The sequence below is a fragment of the Homo sapiens genome, chromosome 1, assembly GCF_000001405.40.
Source record: "Homo sapiens chromosome 1, GRCh38.p14 Primary Assembly".
Taxonomy (NCBI): Eukaryota; Metazoa; Chordata; class Mammalia; order Primates; family Hominidae; genus Homo; species Homo sapiens.
Window position 1 is genome coordinate 30,864,858 of NC_000001.11, and position 21,969 is coordinate 30,886,826.

Below are 21,969 nucleotides of genomic sequence, written 5' to 3' on the forward strand. Positions count from 1 at the left end.
CAGAGCCATTCATAAGAGTCAGTTTTCATAAAACGGGAGGGAACAGGGTCCATGAAGGCACTGACCACTTGGAAGTGGATGACGTAGAGCCGAGGAAAATAGGGCATTGCGGGAGTTCACAGGCAGGGGTTGGGCGAGTGGCCAGGGCCCTAGACTTGCAGCAGGGGAGCCAGCTCTGCATTTCCTGGGGGTGCAACCTCAGGCCCCTCTGGGAATTGCTTTCTTTTACTTTTTTTTATTATTTTATTTTATTTTATTTTATTTTTTTTTTTGAGATGGAGACTCGCTGTGTCGCCCAGGCTGGAGTGCAGTGGCACAACCTCAGCTCACTGCAACCTCTGCCTCCCAGGTTCACGCCATTCTCCTGCCTCAGCCTCCAGAGTAGCAGAGACTACAGGTGCCCGCCACCTTGCCTGGCTAATTTTTTTGTATTTTTAGTAGAGACTGGGTTTCACTGTGTTAGCCAGGATGGTCTTGATCTCCTGACCTCGTGATCTGCCTGCCTCAGCCTCCCAAAGTGCTGGGATTACAGGCGTGAGCCACTGCACCCGGCCGCTTTCTTTTCTTTTAAAGCACTTTATTATGGAGAATTTAAAATGTAAACTTAGAGTAGATAGAATAATATAATGAAGCCCCTATGTGCCCATCACTCAGCGTCTATAACGATCAACTCAAGCCCCAACTTATTTCCTCCATTCCCTCACCCACTCCTCCCCATATTATTTTGAAGTCAATTCCAGACACCCTGTCACTTCATCTACAAATATTTCAGTCTGTATCTCTAAAAGGTAAGGATTCATTTAAAAAAAAAAAAAAAACCATAACTACAGGGCCCTTATCACATCTAAGAGCATTGACAATGAATCCTTAATAACAAATATTCACTCGGTCACTTGAGCCCAGGAGTTTGAGACCAGCCTGGACAACATGGCAAAACTATGTCTCTACAAAAAATATGAAAATTAGTCGGATATGGTGGCGAGCACCTGTAGTCCCAGCTATTTGGGAGACTGAGGTAAGAGGATCACCTGAGCCCGGGGAGCTCGAGGCTGCCGTGAGCCATGATCAGACCACTGCACTCCAGCCTGGGCGACAGAATGAGACCCTGTCTCAAAAAAAGAGAAAATATATATATAAAAATATATATATTTATGTTTTTACTCATTCACTCAGAGTTCAATTTCCACTTGCCTCATAACTGGAGCATTTTAAAAATATAATTTGTTCGAATCAGGATCTGAATCAGGTTCCCACATTGATTAGTTAACATTTCATTTAAGCTTATCTATAAATTCTCCATCTCTCTCTTTTTTTTGTCTTCCTTATAATTTATGTGTTGAAAAAAAACTGGATTGTTTTTCCTATAGAGTATCCCACAGTGTGGATTTTGCTGATAAGGCCAATGTGTTTATTGTAAACACATTGTTTATGATAAAATGGGGGTAATAATTGTCTCCAAGAATTAAATAAGATAATGTCTATGAATGAACGACGATAATTGGAAGGCATCCCACAAAGGTTGTGTGTTAATGCTTCGTTAGAGGCTTTCAAACTCCTAGTGCTCCTGTTGTTCTGGTGATATAACTGAGGTTCAGAGAAGCTTAGTAACCTGCCCACCCTCACAGCTAGCTCTTGGTAGGGAGGAGACAGCAGAATCCCACCGCACCTTCCAATTGCTCTAGGGCTTTGGGATTCTGCTGTTTGAGCCTCAGTTGCTCCATTTGCAACAACAGGCCAAGAGACCAGACCTGGGGCTTAAATGAGCTAACATGATACCTGGTACCTGGCATAGTGCCTCACCCTATTCCTCTTGCTGTCTGCCCTCTCTCATCCCTACTGGTTATCTGGTGGTGATAAACCTAGATCCTCGTGCTCTGAGCCCACCCTCAGGCCGGCAGAGGCAGGGTGGGCGGCCCTGGAAGCTGAGCACACTCTGTTCTCAGGGAAGCTTGGGCTGGGTGGCTGTGACCTCTTGGGCTGCAGGAAACAATCAGCTATTCTTCCTCCTTCCCTCTTGATTCTGTTGCTCATATCTTGGGTGAGGGGGCCCAGAGGGAAGTGCTCCAACTTCCAGCAGTGCCCAGCCTATCTGTGCCCAAATACATGGTTTCCAGGCTCTGCCCTTGGCTCTAACAAGCCTAAGTCATAGTTCATACTAGAGCTGACCCTGATAGTTTGATTTCTACCCAAGCTCAGTATCACTTGTTCAATCAATAGGCAGTGTGCTGGGCCCTGCAAATAAGAATAACAGTAATAACAATACAACAACAGCAGTAATAATTGCCCACATTTGTACAGCACCTACTCTATGCCTGCCATAGTTCTAAGCACTATGCATATGAGGCCAGTACTAGTATTGCCCCCATTTTACAAGTGAGGAAACTGAGCACTGAGTTTGAATTGTTCACCCAAGGTCACATAGCTAGTCACTGACAGAGCTAGGATTTGAATAAAGGTTTGCCTGGTAAAACGTAGGTGCTGCAAAGAGAAGAATAGAAATCCAGCTACAGATGGGCATGTATGCCATGCTTCATGCCTCCAAATACCAACCTTATTGTCCTCATTTGCCTTCAAGGAAATCGAGGCTCAGAGAGGTAGAGCAAAGAGTCTGCTTGACTTCAAGACCATGCTCTTTCTACTCCTCCAAGCTGAAAATAAAATCACATCACTAGAACTCAAGAGAGAAGGGGAGAAGGGTAGGAGGGAGACGGCGGGCTGACAGCACTCAGAAGATGGGGCATTGCCTTCTGAAGCTTCCTGAGTGAACAGCCACTCATGCTTGGCTTTGAATCTTGGTAAACCAACCCCTCACATCATAGCAGGTGTCTAACTGGCCCACTCCTGTGAGGACCTCCCAGTGGCAGGTCTGGCCCCTTCACCCCATTTTATAGCTGTGCAGACTGAGGCTCCAAGGAGTCAAACTGTCTGAGGTCCCACAGTGAGGCCCCGGGCACCAGGGCTCTGTCCCTGAACTGCCTAGCAGTGAGGGGCAATCTTGGTGGGGCTTGGAGGTGGCAGCTGAGAAAGAATGACCCCCCCCCTCCCACAACCACCGCCACCACCACAGACCAGTGTCATCACACAGTCACAAGACTCTGGTTATCAGCTATCTCCCGGATAGACTGTACATGCTCTAGGGAGAGGGGTCGGGGCTGTTGTGGGGACCCCTCGGCTCCCAGTTCCAAGCACAGAGCCAGGCACAGAAACTTCATTGGAAGGAGGGAGGGATGGGTAGGATGGTGTACCAAAGCCATAGGCCTCGGGCTCCAACCCACTCCCAGGGCCAACAGCACCCTGCCTATCACATATTAAGAAGAAATTTCTTTCTTTTTTTTTTCTTGAGACAGGTTCTCACTCTGTCACCCAGACTGGAGTGCAGTGACGCAATCTGGGCTCACCACAACCTCTGACTCCGGGGTTCAAGTGATTCTCCTGCCTCAGTCTCCCAAGTAGCTGGGATCCTGACCCAGGCACCCACCACCAAGCCCAGCTAATTTTTGTATTTTTAGTAGAGATGAGGTTTCACCATGTTGGCCAGGCTGGTCTCAAACTCCTGACCTCAAATGATCCACCCACCTCGGCCACCCAAAATGATGGGATTACAGGCATGAGCCACCACGCCTGGCCAAGAAGAAGAAATTTCTAGAAGAAATATTTGTAGGACATGTAGAGCTTTCCCTCGAAGGAGGGAATTTTGTGACTGTTACACCCATACCTGGGGGCTGTCCCATTGCAAGGGGCAGAACAATCTCGTGTGCCCCCAGGGCGTACGAGCACTGGAGATGGGCAACACTGGAAAGACAGATTTCAGCTGAAATTAGTAAGTACTTCCAAATAGGCAGGGTGGCCTACTGGCCATCGGGACACACCCAGCTGGCTGGGACAGGACTTATGCCAAGTGGGGGCTGGAAAAGGGATTTCTACACCAAGGAGGGCCCCAAGGCTGGCCCAGCTCTATGACCCTGTGATGTCAGGAGTCGGCCTGTGATGATTCTGGGTCACATTCTCCCATCCCAAGGTTCTATTCTGTTCCAACGCCATCATCAGAGCCCCTGTGAGCTACGTGTTGACTGTGGCAGGTGCCGTGCTGAGCATTCTACCTCATGCAGTCCTCACAACATTCCACGTAGGGGATATTCTGACCCCATTTGACAGATGGGGAAACTGAGACTCACAGAGGTCAAGTGGCTTGTCCAGAGTCAGCGCTAGGAAATGTCAACACCTGGACTTGAAAACAGACTTCAGACTTAAAAGCCATCTCGTCTCGTCTCGGCTGCTCTGATTCTGGTATCCTGTGGTACCAAGATTTTCTCTGTGGCCTAAAGCCAGAGTTCCCCTGGGGGTGAACCACAGGCCCCTCTCACCACTGCCTGGCCCCTCCCAACCACAGCCCCCATCCCAGCCTCACCGCAGCGGCTCCGTGGTTTCCTGGACACTCTCAACCAACAGCAGCTTTTACCATAATGGTTCCCACAAGGGGCTGTTGGTCAATTTTCCCTGCTTGGTTCTCAATTTCTTTGATGGGGGAAGATGGCTGGGGCCCAGGGTGCGGCCATGGGCTGCCCTCCCCAAATGACCATATTTATCTCATACTCTGGACACGGCACATCATTTCAGCTTAATTTTATTTCCTCTTATAAATGGGCACAGCACAGGAAGTGTTAAAAAAACAAACAAACAAAAAAAAAAAAAAAAAAAAAAAAACAAAAACAAAACCAGTTCCTTCACAAGGCTGGAACAGGAGAGTACCCGCAGTGGGGCAGGCGCCTTGGTCTCTTTTTTCCACTGTCTTTTTCTTTTGTTTTTCTTATTTAAGGTTTTGGCCATGAACTCAGGACAGGTATGGTTAATAAACAGGTTACAGGGGAGAGAAGGGGCAGGGAAGGCCTGGGGGAGGGAATGGCAGACCCCCACCCACCCCAGGCAGGTTCTGTACAGGAGAAAGGACTCACAGGAGGGAGGGACACTGTCTTCAGGGGGCTCTCTGGAGCCACGCTGCCTACGAAAAATATTTACATGCATTTGCCACGCTGAGGCCAGGGTCACTGTGGTGCCAGGCAGGCACCTGGGGGATGCTGGGGCCATCGGCTCTCAGATGGCAACTCCCAGGGCCCAGTCTCGATGCCTCTGTAAATCTGTACAGTTTGCGGGCTTCTATTTACAGGCAAGAGGCCTGGGGAGGCAAGTCCAGGGTTGTAGTTGTTGGGAGAAGAAATCCAGAGAACACAGGAGGCAGCCACTCCTACCCCATGAGGCAGAGGGTCTGCTCCCTGTGTCCAGGGGCCCCCACCAGGAGGCCTGACAGGCGGCTTTGCCAACCCCAGGGGGGTTTGGCCCACACACCCTAAGCCCTGCCCAGCCCTGGTTGCCACCCACATGCCTCCAGCGATCAAGGGGACCAGTCTTTCAGGCAAGGCCCCCATCTGGCCTCCTGGCCTCCTGGAGACAGGGTCTGGGCTCTCCAGGTCCTGGCCTGCCTCGTGCTCTGGCAGCCAAGGCCCCAGAGGCTCTCAAGCCACAGAAGCTCCCTCTCATTTGGAACTCCCTGTGCTTCCAGCAAATGCCAAAGCCCCTCAGAACACTCCATCACAGGCAGGGGTAGGGGGACATGAGGGCCCTGCACCCACATTGCACCTGGGAGAGCCTAGCTGGTCCTCACTGAACTCTCTTGGACTGCCTTGCCCCGGTCAGGCCGGCCAGGGCAGATTTGGGCTGGTCAGACTCCTCATCCTCAGGAGGATAAAGCCTGGACATCTGCCTTGGGTCCAGGGATCCATGAACAAGGCCCCTGGCCTCTTCTCTCAAATGCTAAGGACACAGAGAAGAGAAGCCAGTGCCTGGAGCCCAAGCCCCAAATCAGAAGCCAACCCCTGGGATGTGAGGAGCCAGGCCTGCCGGGGCCACCCCCACCATTGGCTCCAGCCCTACTGAGAAACTGCACCCACTGTTGGGTCTCCCACCTGGGGTCCAGCATCTTCTGGGGCTGGGGGCCCAAGCCCTTTTCTCCTCTATCCTCCCTGGTTTCTCAGCCTCGGCCTGCCCAGGCCGTCTCACCAGAGCTGTGCTCTCCAAGACAGCAGCACCCCAGGGAGCAGGGTAGGGAGGCTGAGCCTTGTGGTCTGTGGCCCCAGGACCCAGCCCTTCTGCTCCAAAGATGACTGAGGCCAACCCGCCCCCTCCAGATATCAGGGGCCCCCCATGCCCACTCTTCTAAGGCTGGGTCCACCTGGCTTCCTCACAAGCCTCTGGGCCCTGTGAAGGAGGGTTTTGGGACTGGAAGATGGAGCCCAGCCTGGAAAAGACAGGCTGTGGGACAGCCCCTGGAACCTCCCCCTCACTGCCTACACACCGCTACCCCTCATCCTGCAGAAATCTGCTGCCAGGGCATCTTGAAAAGGGCCCTGAAATAAAACCTGCCTTCCTGACTTGAATCTGGGATGTGGGTGAGGGGTGGGGGTGTGAGTGCCAGCCAATCGCAACTCACACCACATCCCTTTGGCTCCAAGAGGCCCCCTGCCAAGCACACCCTCCCCAAAAGATCTGTGACCCCACATTTAAAATACCGATGGAAATAGCCCTACTTGCTAGGTAACAAAGGAAGTAACCCCTCCCCCACTATCACCTGGTCTCATCCCTCAAACCCTGACCTCGGGGCCTGAGGGATCTGCAGGGGCTGCTTCCAGCCATGGCCCCTGAAGCTGCAGCCAGAATTGTTTGGCCAAATAGGTGAGGGGGTGTCCACAGGGAGGGCCTCTGGGCAGGTGGGCTGAGGTTGGCCTGCCAGGCAGAGGGCAGAGGGTGCGGAGGGCCCGCCCTCACAGGCACTTTGGAGACTTGTGTCCTGGGAGGCAGAGTCAGCCCCCTAGCTCAAAGCAGGAAGGGGACACAGGGAGATAAAGGAGCCCAACCACATGCCCCCTCCCTGCCCTGGGCCTTCCGTCCTGGGAGACCCAAGACCCCCCAACAACCTGGGGCCAAATTTCCTTCCTCAGCCTTAGAGGAGCCCCCAGGCTCCCAGCTAGTGGGGGTCTGGCCCCAAACCTCCCCCTCTGCCAGCTGCGGTGGGGAGGAAGCAGGTAGGGGTGAAGCCAGGCCCACCTGCATGCAATGCCCTAAAAGGGCTGTGGCCCCACACTTTTTCCGAGAAAGGCAAGGGCCTGCCTGTTTCCCTCCAGCATTGAGAGCAGGTCATGTGGAGTGAGACTGTGCATCCACATGGGATTGTGTCTGACACTGGCTGGGGTTGGCGGCTGCATGGTTGGTGTGGGCACCATGGCATGGGACTGAGTATGACGGGGCAACTTAGGGGGACCCAATATGGGCTGATTGTTCTGGCTCGATTCCACCCTCCCCAGTAAGCCTGAAAGCTGGAGACAATGTGTGTGGTGCCAGAGTGTGGGTGTATTTGGGGTAGGAGGAGGCCACACTGTCACTGTCATGTGACCATGACTAGTGACTTGCATTGCAGTACGTGTCTGGGGGTGTGTAAGTGATGCATGAGGATAAACATTCTTGGAAGGACGCGTGTGTTCTGTGATATGTCTTGATTGGCTGGGCGGTCAGGATTGCGTATGGTTTTGTCATTGCATGCTTTTGTCTTGTGTGTGACTGAGTGAAAATATGGTGATAGTGTGGGCAATGGTGTCTGTGCAGAGTCCCCTCATAGGAGGGACATCAGAGCAGCCCCTCCTCACCAGTGGCTGCCCCAGCACCCTCAGGAAGCTGTTTCTTGGGGGAAGATGCAGAAAGAAATGAAGTCTGGGTACATGTGTACTTGGCAGGCAAGAGGAGAGATTCAACAACCCCAGAGAGACCAGGACAAAACAGGCTGGTGACAAGGGACACCCTCTCACCCAGCTAGAGAGAGGCCCTGGGATACGAGCAAGAGGTTGCAGTGTCTAGATGATTTCAAGGGCTGTGTTTACCAAATGTTTGTCCTGGAAACCAGCCTGAGTGCCTCTCTGCCCCAAAAAGGAGATCTCAGTGAGCACTGTGGGTGCCAAGTCAGGGCTCAGGCTCATCTCAAGCCCCACCCTTTCTTCCACCACCAGCCAATCAGGAGCTTTCTTCCTCCCATCCATCTGACATGAGGTCCTGAAGCCCCAGACTGGTGGCAGGGATGAGGGGAACAAGAGATGAGCTCGTAAGGGCACAGTCTGGGGCAGATGGCAGCAGCCCCTCTTCCTCGGGGAAGATCTGTGTGAGGCTGGCAGCCTGGGCAGACCTTGGGAGAGAGGGCAGAGAAGAACTGGGGCCAGGTTCCAGGCCCAGTCCCAGGCTTGGGCTGGTGGGGCCAGGCTGGGGACTGGACAGCAGGGTGGTGTTGAGGCTGCAGGGAGGCACTGTGGCTCCACTAGGCATAGAACTCCTCCTGCTTGTCAGGCTTCTGGTATGTGACGCTCGCCTGCTTGGGTTCCTCCAGCGTGTAGCTGCCCTCATCCTTTTTCTTCATACGATAGATGAGCAGTGTGACCAAGAAGGCAGCAAAGAGGGCGCCCACCACCCCGCCCACAATCACAGCTGTGGAAGAAGAGGGCACAGGTCAAGGCCCAGAGGCAGGGTAGAACCAGGGCAAAGGGTCCTCAGGGGTGGGGGCCAGGGTGAGGAGAGGGCTGGGAGTCCCAGATCTGAGTTGGAGTGATGATGGAGTCAATACTACTACTACCAGCACTGGGTACCATCATAGGCCTTCACTGGCTGCATTCTAATCGCCCAACACACTAACTCACTGAACCCTCACACCAGCCCTATGAGGGAGGGGTCATCTGAGGGCTTCATCAAATTTAAAATGCCACCACTCATAAGATGCCCCAGTATTTTATAACTGCTAGGAAAGAAAAAGCTCTGCTAACTAAATATGACATACCCCAACTACAGAAGACTTAACATGTGAACAGATGTGCCTCTTAGAATTGATTAAGGGCAAAATGACTATCCCCATTCTACCGATGAAGAGAAGGAAGACTGGAGAGGTGAAGTACCTTGCCTTGAGTGCAAAGCCAGGATTTGAACCAGGAGTCCACAGACTCCCTAGATGCGGCCAGGGCAGGTCCACAGGGACTGGGGTCAAAAACTGGGGAAGGTCAAGCTGAAGGATGGGTCAGAGATTAGCATCTAGGAAGTAAGGTCCCAGGGGGTCAGCCAGTGTGGCCCAGGAAAGCAGGGATCAAAGTCAGAGTCCACAGAGGGGTCAGAGGACACTGAGGGAAGACCTAGAGATGGACATGAAGTCAGGGTTGGATATTGGGAAGGAGGAAAGTTGGGAGGAGCCAGAAGGCAGGTCCTGGGGGGTTGAGTTCTCAAGTTTCCTTCCTATCTGGCTCCTAGGAAACCACGCCCTGATCTCCTTTCTGGGTTCCTAGAGGCAAACTGAGGCCCAGCCAGCTGTCTCACTCTGGTATCCTCCCAGGCTCCCCTTGGCCCAGACCCCAAGCCTCACCTACGAGCACCTCCTTCCGCTCCAGGATACTCTTCTGAGGCAGCTGAGCAGCTGAGCTGCCCGAGTCGATGGCATTGTCCAGGAGGCCAGGGCCCGGGCGGGCACCCTTGGGCAGTGTCCCAGGTGGAGATGATGCCTTGGCCGCAGCCCCTCCCACAGCTACCACCTCATTGGCTGTGTCTGGTTGTGTGGTCTCTTCTTCTGGCAGCTCGAAGTCTCCACTGGGCCCCCCACTCACCGGAACCTCTGGCTCATCCCGGATTGTGGTCAGGAAGGTCTCTGGAGTTGGGGTCTGCAGAGAGGGTGGCATGAGCCCAGGACAACCACACATGCATGCATAACCCCCCACCACCATCCTACTGCCCTGGGGGGCTAACACTTAGCACTCCCTACATGCCAGGCACTGTGCTACACACTATCCCCATGAAGGAGTGTAACAATGCCCCCAGTTTACAGAGCAGGAAGTCAGCTCAGAGCATAAATGACCTGCCCAAGGACACACAGCTAGTAAGTGGGGGACAGAACTAAAATTCAGATCTATCTGTCTCCACAGTCTGTGTTTCTAACCACTAACACACTGCCTCTGTTCTTGCTCTGGACATCCTGTCCCCCTCATGTCCCCTCCAGCTGCCTTAGTAACAATCCTTGGGGGATTCCTGCCGAGAAGCTGTTTGGGAACTGCTGGGTGCAGATGCTATGGATGTGGGCCTGGTCCCAGTCCATGCCTAAGGCAGGGGAGCATTCTGTAGCCTGGAGGCCAGTCCAAGAGCACAACCTGCAGACTATGATGGCCTCAGGGGCAGGTGTCCCGGAAACCAGCTCAGTGACTGACAATCTCTAGGGCTCCCACCACTCGGAGGCAGGATCAGAGCTGGGAATGATGAGACCAAAGTGGGGGCTGTGGGAGCCATCAGAGCAGGGATGTCGCTACTTCAAAGGTGGGCATGGAAAGGCAGGCCTGATGTCCAGGCTGAAAAGAGGCTGCAGCAGTGCCCCAGCGTACACAGCGTGCACAATGGCTCCTCCAGCAACCTGGGCCCTGTGCACCTTCTCCTGGGCTCCGTGCCCCATCACTGTTTCCCCTTCCTGCTTGGCCAAGTCTGTGTGAAAACACCAGGCTGCCCCAGCTGCTTGAGGAGGCAAGGGAAGGGCCTGCATCCTGCTAGAGCTGGCTGGGGAGTCAGAGGGACTGACACTGACCCCAAGGCAGCGCCACGGCCCAAGGGCCTTCCACAGTGAGGCCAGCTGCAGAGGGCTCTGGCACCCAGTCCATGTTCCCACCTCTCCATCTTACTTAGTGCACCCAGCTGGGACCAGACCACCTCTCTCATGTCCTTGGGATTCATCCATCCCTGGCACTCCTGACATCTTCATCCTCTTCCCATCAATTCCCCTGCCCCATCCAGAATATCCCAAATGCACACACATGCAGCCCTGGCCCTGCGAGACTGCCCGGCTCTGGCACCAACTGCCTGGGTTCAAATCCTGACTGTCATCGCTGGCTGCGGAGCCTTGGGAAGTGGCTTCACCTCCCTGTGCACCCACAGTTGCTCGTCTGTAAAATGAGATGACCACAGTGCTGCCCGTGGGGTGGGCATGAGGGCTGGGGCTAACACAGGTAAAGTGCTGAGCACTGACCCACACCCAGGCAGCCCTCCACAAGGCGAGTGATGCCTTCTCATACACCAGCTCTTAACCACCCTCAGACCCATGATAATAACAACCGTGATGACGACAGCAGCTGAGAACCCACTGGCTGTACCATCACCAGGCGCTGTTCTAAGCACTGTGGATGTCAGGAGACTTCACGCTCACAATGAAATGATACACATTCTATTGTTTTCTCCTTTCCGTAGATGAGGAAGCGGAGGTATAGAAATGATCAGGGACTGGCCTGAGGTCCCGTGACTAGGAAGTGGCAGTGGAAAGATTCTAATCCAGCTGCCAGACCACTGAATTAATTCTCTCAACCGAAACACTCAGCCCGGCCCCCCTTGTCACCAATGCACACGTTCACCCAATTCCTTCCCCACCAATGTCCCATCCCATTAGGATCCAACCACCCCAGCCCTCGTTTTCTGTCCCTCTTCCCTCCCTATCCGATCTCTGTCCCTTGGTCCTGCCCCTCGCCCCCACTTTGTCTGGCTCATCTCTATAGCCTCCTGGTCCTCAGTCCTGTCCAGCCCCATCCTCCTCATCCCTCCCCTGACCCACCCTCCTCCGCCCTCCTCCCTGTCCCTTCTCAACACCCTCACCTGAGCCACCTCTGTGGGTCCAGGGGCAGTGGTCCCCAGGGGCAGGGTGCTCCTCTCAGGGATGTCAGGCTCCTGGGTGGTGGCCGGCCTGGGAAGGGCTCTTGGCCGGGAGGTAGCTGTGCTGACCAGCCTGGGTGTTGGGGCCTCGGTGTCCAAGACAGCCGCCGTGGTGGGCGGGGAGGGCGCCTCGGGGGTAGTGGCCCGTGCCGTAGCCACTGTGGTCAGTGGGAGAGGCAGAAGCCTCCGTACGCCAGTGGTCCTTATAACAGCAGTGGTGGCCGTAAAAGGGGGTGCTGCAGGGGTGCTGGGGGTGGCGGTGGCCACTGTGGCAGGCACTGTGGCCACAGTCGGGTCCCCTGTGCTTGTGGCAGCAGTGGTAGCCATGGTAGTGGAGACGGTGGTGGCTCTCTGGCTGGGCTCTTCCGGGACTTCTGTCACCACCAGGGGGCTGGTGGCTGGCTCCAGGGTGGGGCGCTCAGAGGGGAGCTCTTCAAATGGTGTGCCCACAGGCTGGATGTTCGTGGTGGGCAGCACCGCAGGTGTGGTGGACACCGCCAGGGCTACATCTGGGCTGAAGCGCATGGCTGTCTCAATGCCCGACTCCTGCTCGAAGTCTGAGGGGGTGGGGGAGAGGGAGAGAGCTAGGGAGCTGGGTGGTTGTGAGGGGCATGAGGATCCCAGGTAAGCAATGGCCATCAAGATTAGGTCTCCCAACCCCCTCTCTTTACCCAATTTTCCCAGAAAAGATGAGAGAAAGGAGGAAGGCACAGCCCAGCTAAAGGTGGTCAGTTGCTGATGTTCCCCAACTTCTCTCTGCCAAGTCAAAAATTCTGGGGGCCGCCTCTCCCGGGAAGCCTTCCTTGACTATTCCTGCCCACCCAGCCTACAGTTTCTATGAGGTTGAATCCAGGCAGCAGCAACTGAGGCGCTACTGGCTGCAAAACTTGCTGGGGCTTGCAGGGGAACACAGGAGTGGCATTCTGGGAAGAGTCAGACCCCAAAGGCACCCCTACCACAAGCTCAAGGCAGGGGTGGTACACTAAGGGCTTCCCCCAGAGGCAGAGGCGGAGGGTAAAAGGGAAAAGAAGCCCTTGAGGCAGGGGAACTGCTTGAGCAATCTGGCTGACGCAAAGCCGGGACAGTGAAGGAACTTGGGAGGAAATGAGATGGGGAGTAGGGGATGGGGGAGGGAGAAGCCACAGCCAGCTCCTGGGCTCGGAACCAGGCAGGAGGGAGGGGAGCCAGGGAACTTTGCGAATAGAGATGTGACCCAATATAAACGGGTTTTACAAAGATTAATTTGAAAGAGGCTCAAAGGACTTGGCTAAGGAGGGGAGACCAGAGGCGAGGGCTGTGGGGAGCCAGCTCTGTGGCGTGCAGACCCCGTACCATCTCCTCAGATGCCAGCCCGTGCCCTCACTGGGCCCAGTCTCAGCTGCCTTCTTTTTGCTACCATTTTGAGAGCTCCTCCTCTGTGCCAGACCCCAGCTTCCTATCCCAAACCCTCCTAGAGGCACTGAGAAGAAGTCGTATTTCTCACCATCCACAGGTGAAAATACAGGGATTCAGGGAGGGGGAGCACCGAGGGGCACACAGTTGCTACATGGCAGAGTGGGGTTCGCGGTGCCCTTCTCTCCCGAGATTCTGCTAGACCCAGCTGACCTGGCTCCCCTTCCCCAGGGCGGGGCCATCCCAGGCACCACTTGAAGCACCTGCCCTGTGTCATCACTGCCCTAACCCCACCATTGGCCACAGCTTATTGCACCTGACGGGACCACCGGAACCAAGCAAGGTCTGCAGAGAAAGCCACATAGCACACACAAAGATGCAGACGTGGGACCCTGGAGACCTGGACATTCTGGGCCCTGAGGTCCTCCCAGGTCTTGTTCTATCCCCAGAAGGATGTTCTGCCCTTCTTGTTCTGGGGATCCAGAGCAAGAAGAACTTGCCTGACCCAGGCAGTGAATGCCCCCTGCCTCACTGAAGCAAGCCCCCCGTGGGCTTCTCAGAGTTGAGGCTGGATACAGACTGGTCACTGCCCCCAGGCAGAGGTAGGGAGGGGGGTACTTACAGCCCGAGCCCGACCCCGAGTAGAGGTCATCCAGTTCATCATCGGGAAAGGAGTCATCATCCCCAGAGCCCTCCAGGTCCACGGGTCTCTCGAAGTTCTCACTGCGCCAGCGCTGGGCCTAGGGAAGGTAGAGGTGGACACAGGGCTCGGCACCCGAGACTGGCAGCCTGGGTGAGCCCAGAAGGGCGACAGGTGCCCTTGTGGGCTGAGTGACATCCACGTGGGTGACAGAGATCTTGTGTGTACCCTGAAGGAAAGTGCGTGTGTGAATAATTCACAGGGCAGGGGTGGGGTGTGGCAAGTCACCTGGGGTCCCATCCCAGAAGGCTTTCAGTGTCTGGCTGATGACTTTCTCTTAGAAACTGGTCATTTTTCATCTTGACTGCACATCTGAATATTGTGAAAACTAAATTCAGTGGTTCAGTAGGTCTGGGGTGGTCTCTGAGCAGCCGCAATGTTGGGCTGGCTGTGGGGAGCCCTGGGGCATGTGTGAGCAGGCGAGGGCTGGAATGGCCCTGCATTTGGGGCCCAGCCTCTCACCCCCTGCCACTGATGGGCCCCCTTCTGGAGTTGATACAGAGCCAGAGTGAGGATCTCAATCCTGTCTTCATATCCCCAGCCTCAACCACCTGCTCCAGAGCCCTGCCCAGCCCAGCCAGGGCAGGGAGCCAGGAGGTGCCCCCTCACAAAATGCACACACACACATAGTCTCAAAGTAATGAATTAATCAGTATTTACTTTCTACCAGTGAGTCATGGAGTGGAACAATTAGTGTAATTTCTCCCGTGACGAATTGCTGGGTCTTCCTCCTTTTTTAAACATTCTAGGAGCTCAGAGCAGTAGGGCCCAACTTTTCCCCAGCTCCCCTCTGCCCAGAAAGAAAAATACCCACGGTGGAGGAGCTAGAACTCCCCATGGCACTCCCCTCCACAACCTGAACCAGCCAACCTGGAGTCCCTGCTCCCTCCAGCTCTCTGGCAAGCAGCCTGAAGTCACACAGAAGAATGGGGACTGAGCAGGGACCCAGGCTCCGGCTCCTGCCCCTGCCCAGGGCTGTCTTCACTGTCTTTCTATCCTTCCCAGTAGGCTGGGCAGTGGCTGGGAGGCCTTTAGCTGGGAGGAGGGATACTAAGAGGTCTGTGGTCCCTGGAAGCCCCCAACTGAAGTAAATGTGGGTGCCAAAACAAGGGAGTCCCCAAGATTCCTCAGTGACCAGTGCCACTTAGCCCCTAACTTCCTGCTCCAAGAAAAGCCTGTACAAACCCAAAGACCTACCCCCATGCCACATAGACCCTTGAAATGACACACCCCAGAGACACAGCACATGCACAGACACACACTGAAACATGCTCACCTAAAAGCAGCCACAGAGGGCTCAGCGTGTCAGCATGCCTGGGGGTAAAAACAGCCACTCACATGGGGCAGGAGGAGCTGGGCCTGCTGTGCAGCTCTGAGCTCAGAGACAAGCATCGAGCCTCCTGGAAACCCATCAGCCTCCACTCAGGTAGCGCTCACCTACATACTATTCATCCCCAGCTCAGTAGCCATCGACATGACAACCGTTACCATGACGACCATCTTCTCCATGCTAACGACCAGGAGCTGCAGCTCCCCACAGAGATGGGGTGGTACAGGAGAGGGAGAGATCACGGGGGAACTGAGAGGATGACAGGGAAGGGGGAGGCAGAGACAGAGACGGTGACAGAGAGTCGAGGACTGAGGGAGGCCAGGGGGCAGAGGGGCAGAGACGGGGAGGGTGGGCTGGGGGTACGAGAGAAGGAGAGAAGGCAAGGGTGGGAGGCAGAGGGGAGAACTCACACATCCTAATTTAGCCTCATGCTGATGAGGCAAGGCTGGGGAAGGGGCCACCTCAGTAATTTTCCAAACCTGCTTCCAAGAGTACATTCTTTCCGAACAGCAAGCATCCCCAATGGCAGGGTGTGCAGGGGGAGGAACGGCCCAGTCACCCCTGAGCCCACCTGGGATGCTCAGCGGGAACTTAATGCGAGGACACCTGGGACCTGCAGGCATGGGCGCTGGGACTCATGAGGCCCTCTCAGGAACACTACAGAGGGGGTGCTGGTAGCTGCAACTCCCAGAGGGGACAGAGAAATAGGGGTTGGGGAACGGAGCCTGGGAGGCAGCAGGGAAAGCCTTAGAAGTCACAGAATGCCTGAGGAGGAGGGTGACAAGCAGGCTTTGACCCCCAAACGACCTCCGCATTTGCATAATCCATCATAATAAGCATAATTATCCATGCCATTCCCTTAAAGGAGAACTGAATCCAAAAGCCCCAGGACGCTGCCAGCTTCTCCTTGACCCTCACTGTGCCCCCTCCAGGTAAACACAACCCCCCCATGCCTGATAGGAGGCTTCCATACCCCCAAGACACGCGCGCACGCATGCACACACACACACACACACACACACACGACAGCCCAACATCCTCATGCATATATATTCTTCTGCATGTACTATGCACCCCAATGGATACACACACACACTATTAAGTGCAATGTTTGCCCACACCAATCTGTATACTCACCACAGCCTATAGGCAATACAGCCCAGCCCACACCAGCACACACTCACCCATCTACTTCACCCCTAGCTGCCTGTACACATGCCCTAGGGTACTCACAGACACACACACACACTCCTCTCCTCACCACACACCCCACGGATGCCCCCGAGAAACCTCAGCACATTCTCCTGACCCCACGCACCACACTCACCTCACCAAGGCCCACAACACGGACCCACCGCCATGGCCACGTATGTTCCCTAAACACACATCGCTCCTAGACATCACCCTCGGCAGGTGCATCCTCTGACTCAGACATGAACCTCACAACTCGGATACAACCTTTCCTCTCGGCTGCACCCCCCACACACAGCGAGCGTGCCCGGTGGAAGCACTGAACCTTCTGCTTCCGGCCACCACTGATCTCGGGAGGGGACACCCAGCAGAGGCTCCGCAAGCGGCCCATGAAGGCCTGAGCATCAGGTCCCAGGGGAGCCGCTGAGCGTTCCCAGGGCACTCTAGAGACCTCTGCCTGCTGCTGCTGAGGGCCTGCCCCAGGCCAGGTGCTGGGAGCATGTTATTTATGCAGCCTCCTTTAAGCATCACAACTGCCCAGGGTTTTATCATCCCCATTCCACAGATGCAGGAACTGAGGCAGGGGTTAGAATCCAGGCATGAGGCCTCTGTCTCTGAAACCCTTGTCCTGGACATTCCTGAGCCACCCCCAGACCCATTGCTTGTCCAGGGCTAAATTCATACATCTGTGCCCCGCAGCTGCCCTCACCCCCTGCATGACATCAACTCGGCAATGCCCACAGCTGTCCATGCCCACCCAACATCCACACCCACGCGCCAGCACACGATGGTGATAAGACTATGCAGCTCATAGCATTGCAGGAGAAGGGGCTGAGCACGGGACCCAACACACCAGGCACTCCCAACACCCTGCCTCCACATGTGCGCAGCCTACTTGTCCCTCCCTGAACCTGCCCCAGCAGACATACATCCCGCCTCACATGCCATTAACAGGTCCACAATACCTGCATCTCAGTTCCCTCCACACACACATGCGCGCAAACACGCACTTTCCTTCCGGGTACACACAAGTGCACACACACATCGGGATGAAATGTGGCACCCTTCCTAGTGGACTGATGCCCCCTGCTTCCATTTTTCCTCACAGTCCCCTAGTCACCACACCTTCCTGAAGTAACCCACAGCCTCACTCCACAGAGGCACCTCAGGCTCCCAGCCCAGAAGGGACCAGGCCCAGCAGTGACCCACAGGCCCCCTCACTCCACATCCACTCCCACCGATCCTCTCCTAGAGTTTTAGAGCAGCAGCTGGGGAGGCTCCCCTGGGCCAGGGGCAAGGAGGTGCCACCTCCCAGGTTGCCCAGCCCCCTCCCTCCCAGGAGCACCCCATCAGGGCTGTGATGGGTGAGGGTCCAAATGAGCTGGATGTCAGCTAAGTCTCCTCACTTTCACGGCTACCTCTACCCACCCACTCATCACTCACTCTGAGTGCAGGGGACACGTTCAGGAAGGCCAGTGCATCCCTCCCACCCCATCCTCTCTCAGAGCCCACTCCAGAATTTGGGGTCTCTCGTGCCCAGCCCCACACCACCATGAGCCTTCCTAGAGAAACCGGTCAGCACAGAGGCAAAGCATAATGAACCAGCTCCTCTTTACTACCCGGTTGGCTGTCAGGCAAGCCATTTAATCTCAGCACCTCAGTTTTCTCATCTGTAAAATGGAGATGATGAGAAGACTACGCAGCTCATAGCATTGCTGTGGGAAGGGGCTAAGCACAGGACCCGACACCAAGTGAAAAATGAATAAATCAGTGTAGCCACGATTGCTGTTAGTTTATGTTAAAATTTCTATTATTATTTCGAAGCCTTTATCTCATGTAAGCCTCAACCTCCTCATGAGGGAAGCCAAATTGGGATGACTACACCCAGGCAGATGAGACGATTAATGCCCGGAGAGGTTAAGTGGCATTGCCAAGGCCACACAGCAGGGGAGAGTGCAGAGAGAGACAAAAAGAGAGAGGTTGGATGAAGGGGGAGAAAGGGCAAGTTACAGAAACAGACACAAGCACACAAATTAGGTCAGCAGGCTGGGGGCCAGGAGCCCGGCACCCCTGTGCAGCGCTAATCATGTTGCAAAAAGCCAAGAATAAAATCGAGTGTAATTAGTTCTGCCCGAGCTTCCTTCCCCTAATTAGCCAGACTCAGGCCTCACTTTCCTGGTGACCAGAGGCGACATGAGCAAGGGGTGGGGGCCCAGCTTTAGGTTCTGACAGTCTTGGATTCAAATTCAGCTCTGCTTACTTGCTGGGTGACTTTGGATGTGTTACTTAACCTCTCTGAGCCTGTTTGGTTAAATGAGGCCAACAATGATACTTCATAGGGCAGTTGTGAGAATCAAGTGAGATCATGCCTGCACACAGTCGGAGCCGTATAAGGCTTTGTCTATATTCCTACAGCCTGCACTTCCCACCTCAGGCTGCAACTTCAAGGCTACACTGGGCCTGAGGGATCACTGAGTTCAACTCTCCCCTTTTACCGATGTGGAAACTGAGGCACAGAGAGGGGAAAGCCTTGCTTATCACGAAAGGAGGGGGCGGGGTTAGTCTGCCACGAAGCATTCAGAGAGGTAAAGTGATTTGCCCAAAGACACACAGCGACGTAACTACTAGCTCCTCGAGGCAGGGAGGGAGGGTGTCTCAGCATGGCCCTCTGGATCCCTGCAGGCTCCGTCCCCAAAAAGCCCTCAGTCCTGTGAGAACTCAGTGCCCCTCACGCTCACCAGATCCACCCCGGAGACCCAGAGCATCACCGCAGGAATGTGGGCTGGGGCCAAGCTCCGGGCAGCAAGACAGCCAAGGGGGCTGCACAATTGGGAGCCGGGACCAGGAGGGGGATGTCTCAGTCCCCACCCCCACCCAGCCACAGCTGCCCTGGCCAGGAAGCCGGCAGTCCCACACCCACTTGTGGCTGGAGATGAGGGGCACGAGGACTGCACCTGCTGGGGAAGGGGCTATGGAGCCCAAGTCCCAGAGAGCAGAAGCCCGGGGAGGAGTGGAATGGGGAGGGCAGAGAAGGCCAAGCTGAAACACCACAGACCCCCCCCAAGAAAAATCCACCAAGCCCAGACACACACCCTCCCACTCGCCCCAACTCACACACTCAAGCCTCTCACAAACCAAACCTATCCCCACCCCCTACTCCCATCTACAAAGGCAGCTCAGAGGGCAGGAAATGTTCCCTTTGGGCCTGTCCCATCCCAGTCAACTCCTCTGCAAAGATATCATGGCAGCAGAGCCCTCCCTACCCCAAGCCTGTATCTCTCCTGTCACCTCCAGTCTGCCCTCTACCCAGCCCTGTGTTCCCACCATCCCCCCAGGATGCCCTTTTTCCCACTGTGGCACCTGCCTCCACCCACATCCCCACCCCAGCCCCAACAGGAGAGCAGGTAGCAGCCCTGGCTCAGGCGCCCACAGCCTCCAAGACCGTGGACAAATCCTCTTCCCCCTTCTCTGCCTTTCCTTTGCCCCATTTGCAAAATGGAAAACCAAGCATGGTGGTCTAAGGGCCTTTCTGATTCTGACACTCTGGACTCCCAAGAATTTGATCCTTAGGTCAAGGAGATCCAGGACAATGTAATTTACGAGAGGGAAAAAATGGAAATAACCCACATACTGAACGACAGGGGACGAGTTAAATAAATGAGGGTACAACCATAACATGGAATATTACGCAGCTATCAACAATTGAGTTCTCACAAATCTACACTGTCTAATGAGGTTATTAAAAGACATAAATGTGTCATAGAAGGCTTTTTTTTACTTGCTACAAGGAATATTGAAGGATGTAGGAAAATGCACATATTGATCATCAGAAGACAAGACAGTATAGCTGTTGATAGGAATATGCAGATGGCTCTCTCAATTCCGATGTGACTTTGGGCAGATATTTAACTCTCTCAGGCTGCTTTAACTGGTAAAACAAAGATAAGAATGCCCACCTCGTGGGGTTTACAGAAGGAGGCTGGGCATGTTCACCCATTAACAAATTGCTCAGTAAATGCTGGCTATTAATATGAGTATCATCATTATGTTTAAAAAATAGGTTACAAAAAATATGTAGAACTTGATCCTGTTTTAATGAACTCACTATCAAAGTGAATTTCCAAATGCTGCATTATAACTAAAGGTTCCCAGAGGCTCTCTCTGGGTGGTGGGATTACAGGCAGCTTTAATTTCTTCTCAGGACCTTTCTGTATTTTCCACAATTTCTCCGATAAACCCATAGCACTTTTGTTATTAGAGAGCGCACATCCTCCCTGAGTCTCCATCCCTGGTGTTCTCTGGTCTGTGAAACTTCCGGGTCCCCTGGTTCTGCTGAGACCCCATTGAGACTGTTCGTGAGGGACCTTACGAGGAAACTGAAAAGGGGGGTGGAAAGGAAATGAACACAAAAGCCTCTGAGGGAGCTGGCAGGGCCCACGGCCCAACCGAGTCTCACCACAGACAGGCTGGCTTGGCAGGACCTGGCTCCCTCCCCTGGCATCAGCCTGTCTGGCGGCCACCTTGGCCTGTGGTGCCCAGACACCCACCCGCCCGCCTTCTCCCATCAGCCCTGTTCCTGGCTCAGCCGGGCTGGCCAGTCTCTGTTGAGGTGCAGACTGGCTGCCCTACAGCAGCCCACTCTGTCCCCTGTGCCTAGACAGAAGCTGACAATGCAACCCTGGGAAAGCCAGGCCCCCTCCTCAACCCAGGGCTGGGACGCCTCCGTCACCGCCCCATCAATCCCAGCCACCTGCCCTCTCACGTCACTCTTGGCCACCCTGACTCACACTGCTCATTGATGCCTGTCCCCAAGCTCGTGCCTGAGAGCAGGACCACCCACTGAGGCCCCGTTTCCAGACCCAGCAGCACCCCCCACACCCCACTCCCAGCTGCCCACCCCCATACTCCTCCCACACAAAACTATTTACAGTTCTGGGAACACGGGCTCCTTCAGGCCTGTTCCTGCTTCCTGGAATACCTTTCCCCACCATCTCTGCCTGGCCAGCACCTACTCAGCTGGTTAATCAGTAAAACCAATGGTTATTAAGCTCCTACTGTGTGCCAAGCACCATCCTAGGCACTAGATATGTCCCCACAAAGCTGGCTCAGCTCACACAATGCCTCCTTTGTCAGCCTGCTTGAATGTCACATACGCACGCCAACCACCTCCCTGGTCCAAATTAGGAAGTCCTTTCTTGGGGACTCAGTACCTCCACTGTGTTGTCATTTACTAAGGGAGAAGGCCCACCAACCATGCTCCCATCACTCTAACAGGCCCTTCCACTGGATCTCAGTGAAACCACTCAGCTGCCCTGGGAAGCAGATAATATGGTCTCCATTTATAGATGAGGAGACTGAGCCTGTTAAGCCACCAGTGGGGTCACACAGGAGTTGAATTCTGGCCTTGTTGAGTCTAAATCCTGTGTTCAGTGAACTCCTGAACCCCTGAGAATGCCTGCAGGGAATGCCAGTTTGTGATTCAAGACTCCTTCCACTGAGCACTTTTCTGGAAAAGGCTGGGCCATTCCATCCCTTATGAAAATGATCACAGCCCCGACGGAGGGAGCCCTCACTAAGTGCCAGGTTCCTTATATGCACATTGCCT

General features: G+C 54.7%; 1 protein-coding gene across 4 annotated transcripts in view, besides 4 other annotated features; it reads right to left on the minus strand.

Moving 5' to 3' along the window:
• The window catches only part of SDC3 (syndecan 3), a 40,270-nt gene continuing 22,909 nt past the window's right edge, over nt 4,609-21,969 (minus strand). For 3 of the 4 annotated variants that reach the window (XM_011542463.1, NM_014654.4, XM_011542464.3), the window contains exons 2-5: nt 13,766-13,883; nt 11,695-12,308; nt 9,440-9,731; nt 4,609-8,520 (exon numbers count right to left, since the gene is read on the minus strand). In XM_011542463.1, the coding sequence (XP_011540765.1) occupies nt 8,354-8,520; nt 9,440-9,731; nt 11,695-12,308; nt 13,766-13,883 (1,191 nt within the window). In that variant the 3' untranslated portion in view covers nt 4,609-8,353. Of the gene's footprint in view, nt 8,521-9,439; nt 9,732-11,694; nt 12,309-13,765; nt 13,884-14,071; nt 15,234-21,969 lie in introns of those variants that run through there. The other variant, XM_011542466.2, reaches the window with a different exon arrangement.
• Nucleotides 5,679-6,550: an enhancer, noted in NCBI's record as "H3K27ac-H3K4me1 hESC enhancer chr1:31343383-31344254 (GRCh37/hg19 assembly coordinates)". NCBI's record gives its function as "activates a minimal SCP1, AML or CMV promoter by ChIP-STARR-seq in naive H9 embryonic stem cells {active_cell/tissue: H9 hESC(naive)}" and the evidence as "EXISTENCE:reporter gene assay evidence [ECO:0000049][PMID:30033119]".
• Nucleotides 16,457-16,506: a silencer, noted in NCBI's record as "silent region_561". NCBI's record gives its function as "represses an Ori minimal core promoter by ATAC-STARR-seq in GM12878 lymphoblastoid cells {active_cell/tissue: GM12878}" and the evidence as "EXISTENCE:reporter gene assay evidence [ECO:0000049][PMID:35858748]".
• Nucleotides 16,517-16,576: a silencer, noted in NCBI's record as "silent region_562". NCBI's record gives its function as "represses an Ori minimal core promoter by ATAC-STARR-seq in GM12878 lymphoblastoid cells {active_cell/tissue: GM12878}" and the evidence as "EXISTENCE:reporter gene assay evidence [ECO:0000049][PMID:35858748]".
• Nucleotides 20,919-21,419: an enhancer, noted in NCBI's record as "H3K4me1 hESC enhancer chr1:31358623-31359123 (GRCh37/hg19 assembly coordinates)". NCBI's record gives its function as "activates a minimal SCP1, AML or CMV promoter by ChIP-STARR-seq in naive H9 embryonic stem cells {active_cell/tissue: H9 hESC(naive)}" and the evidence as "EXISTENCE:reporter gene assay evidence [ECO:0000049][PMID:30033119]".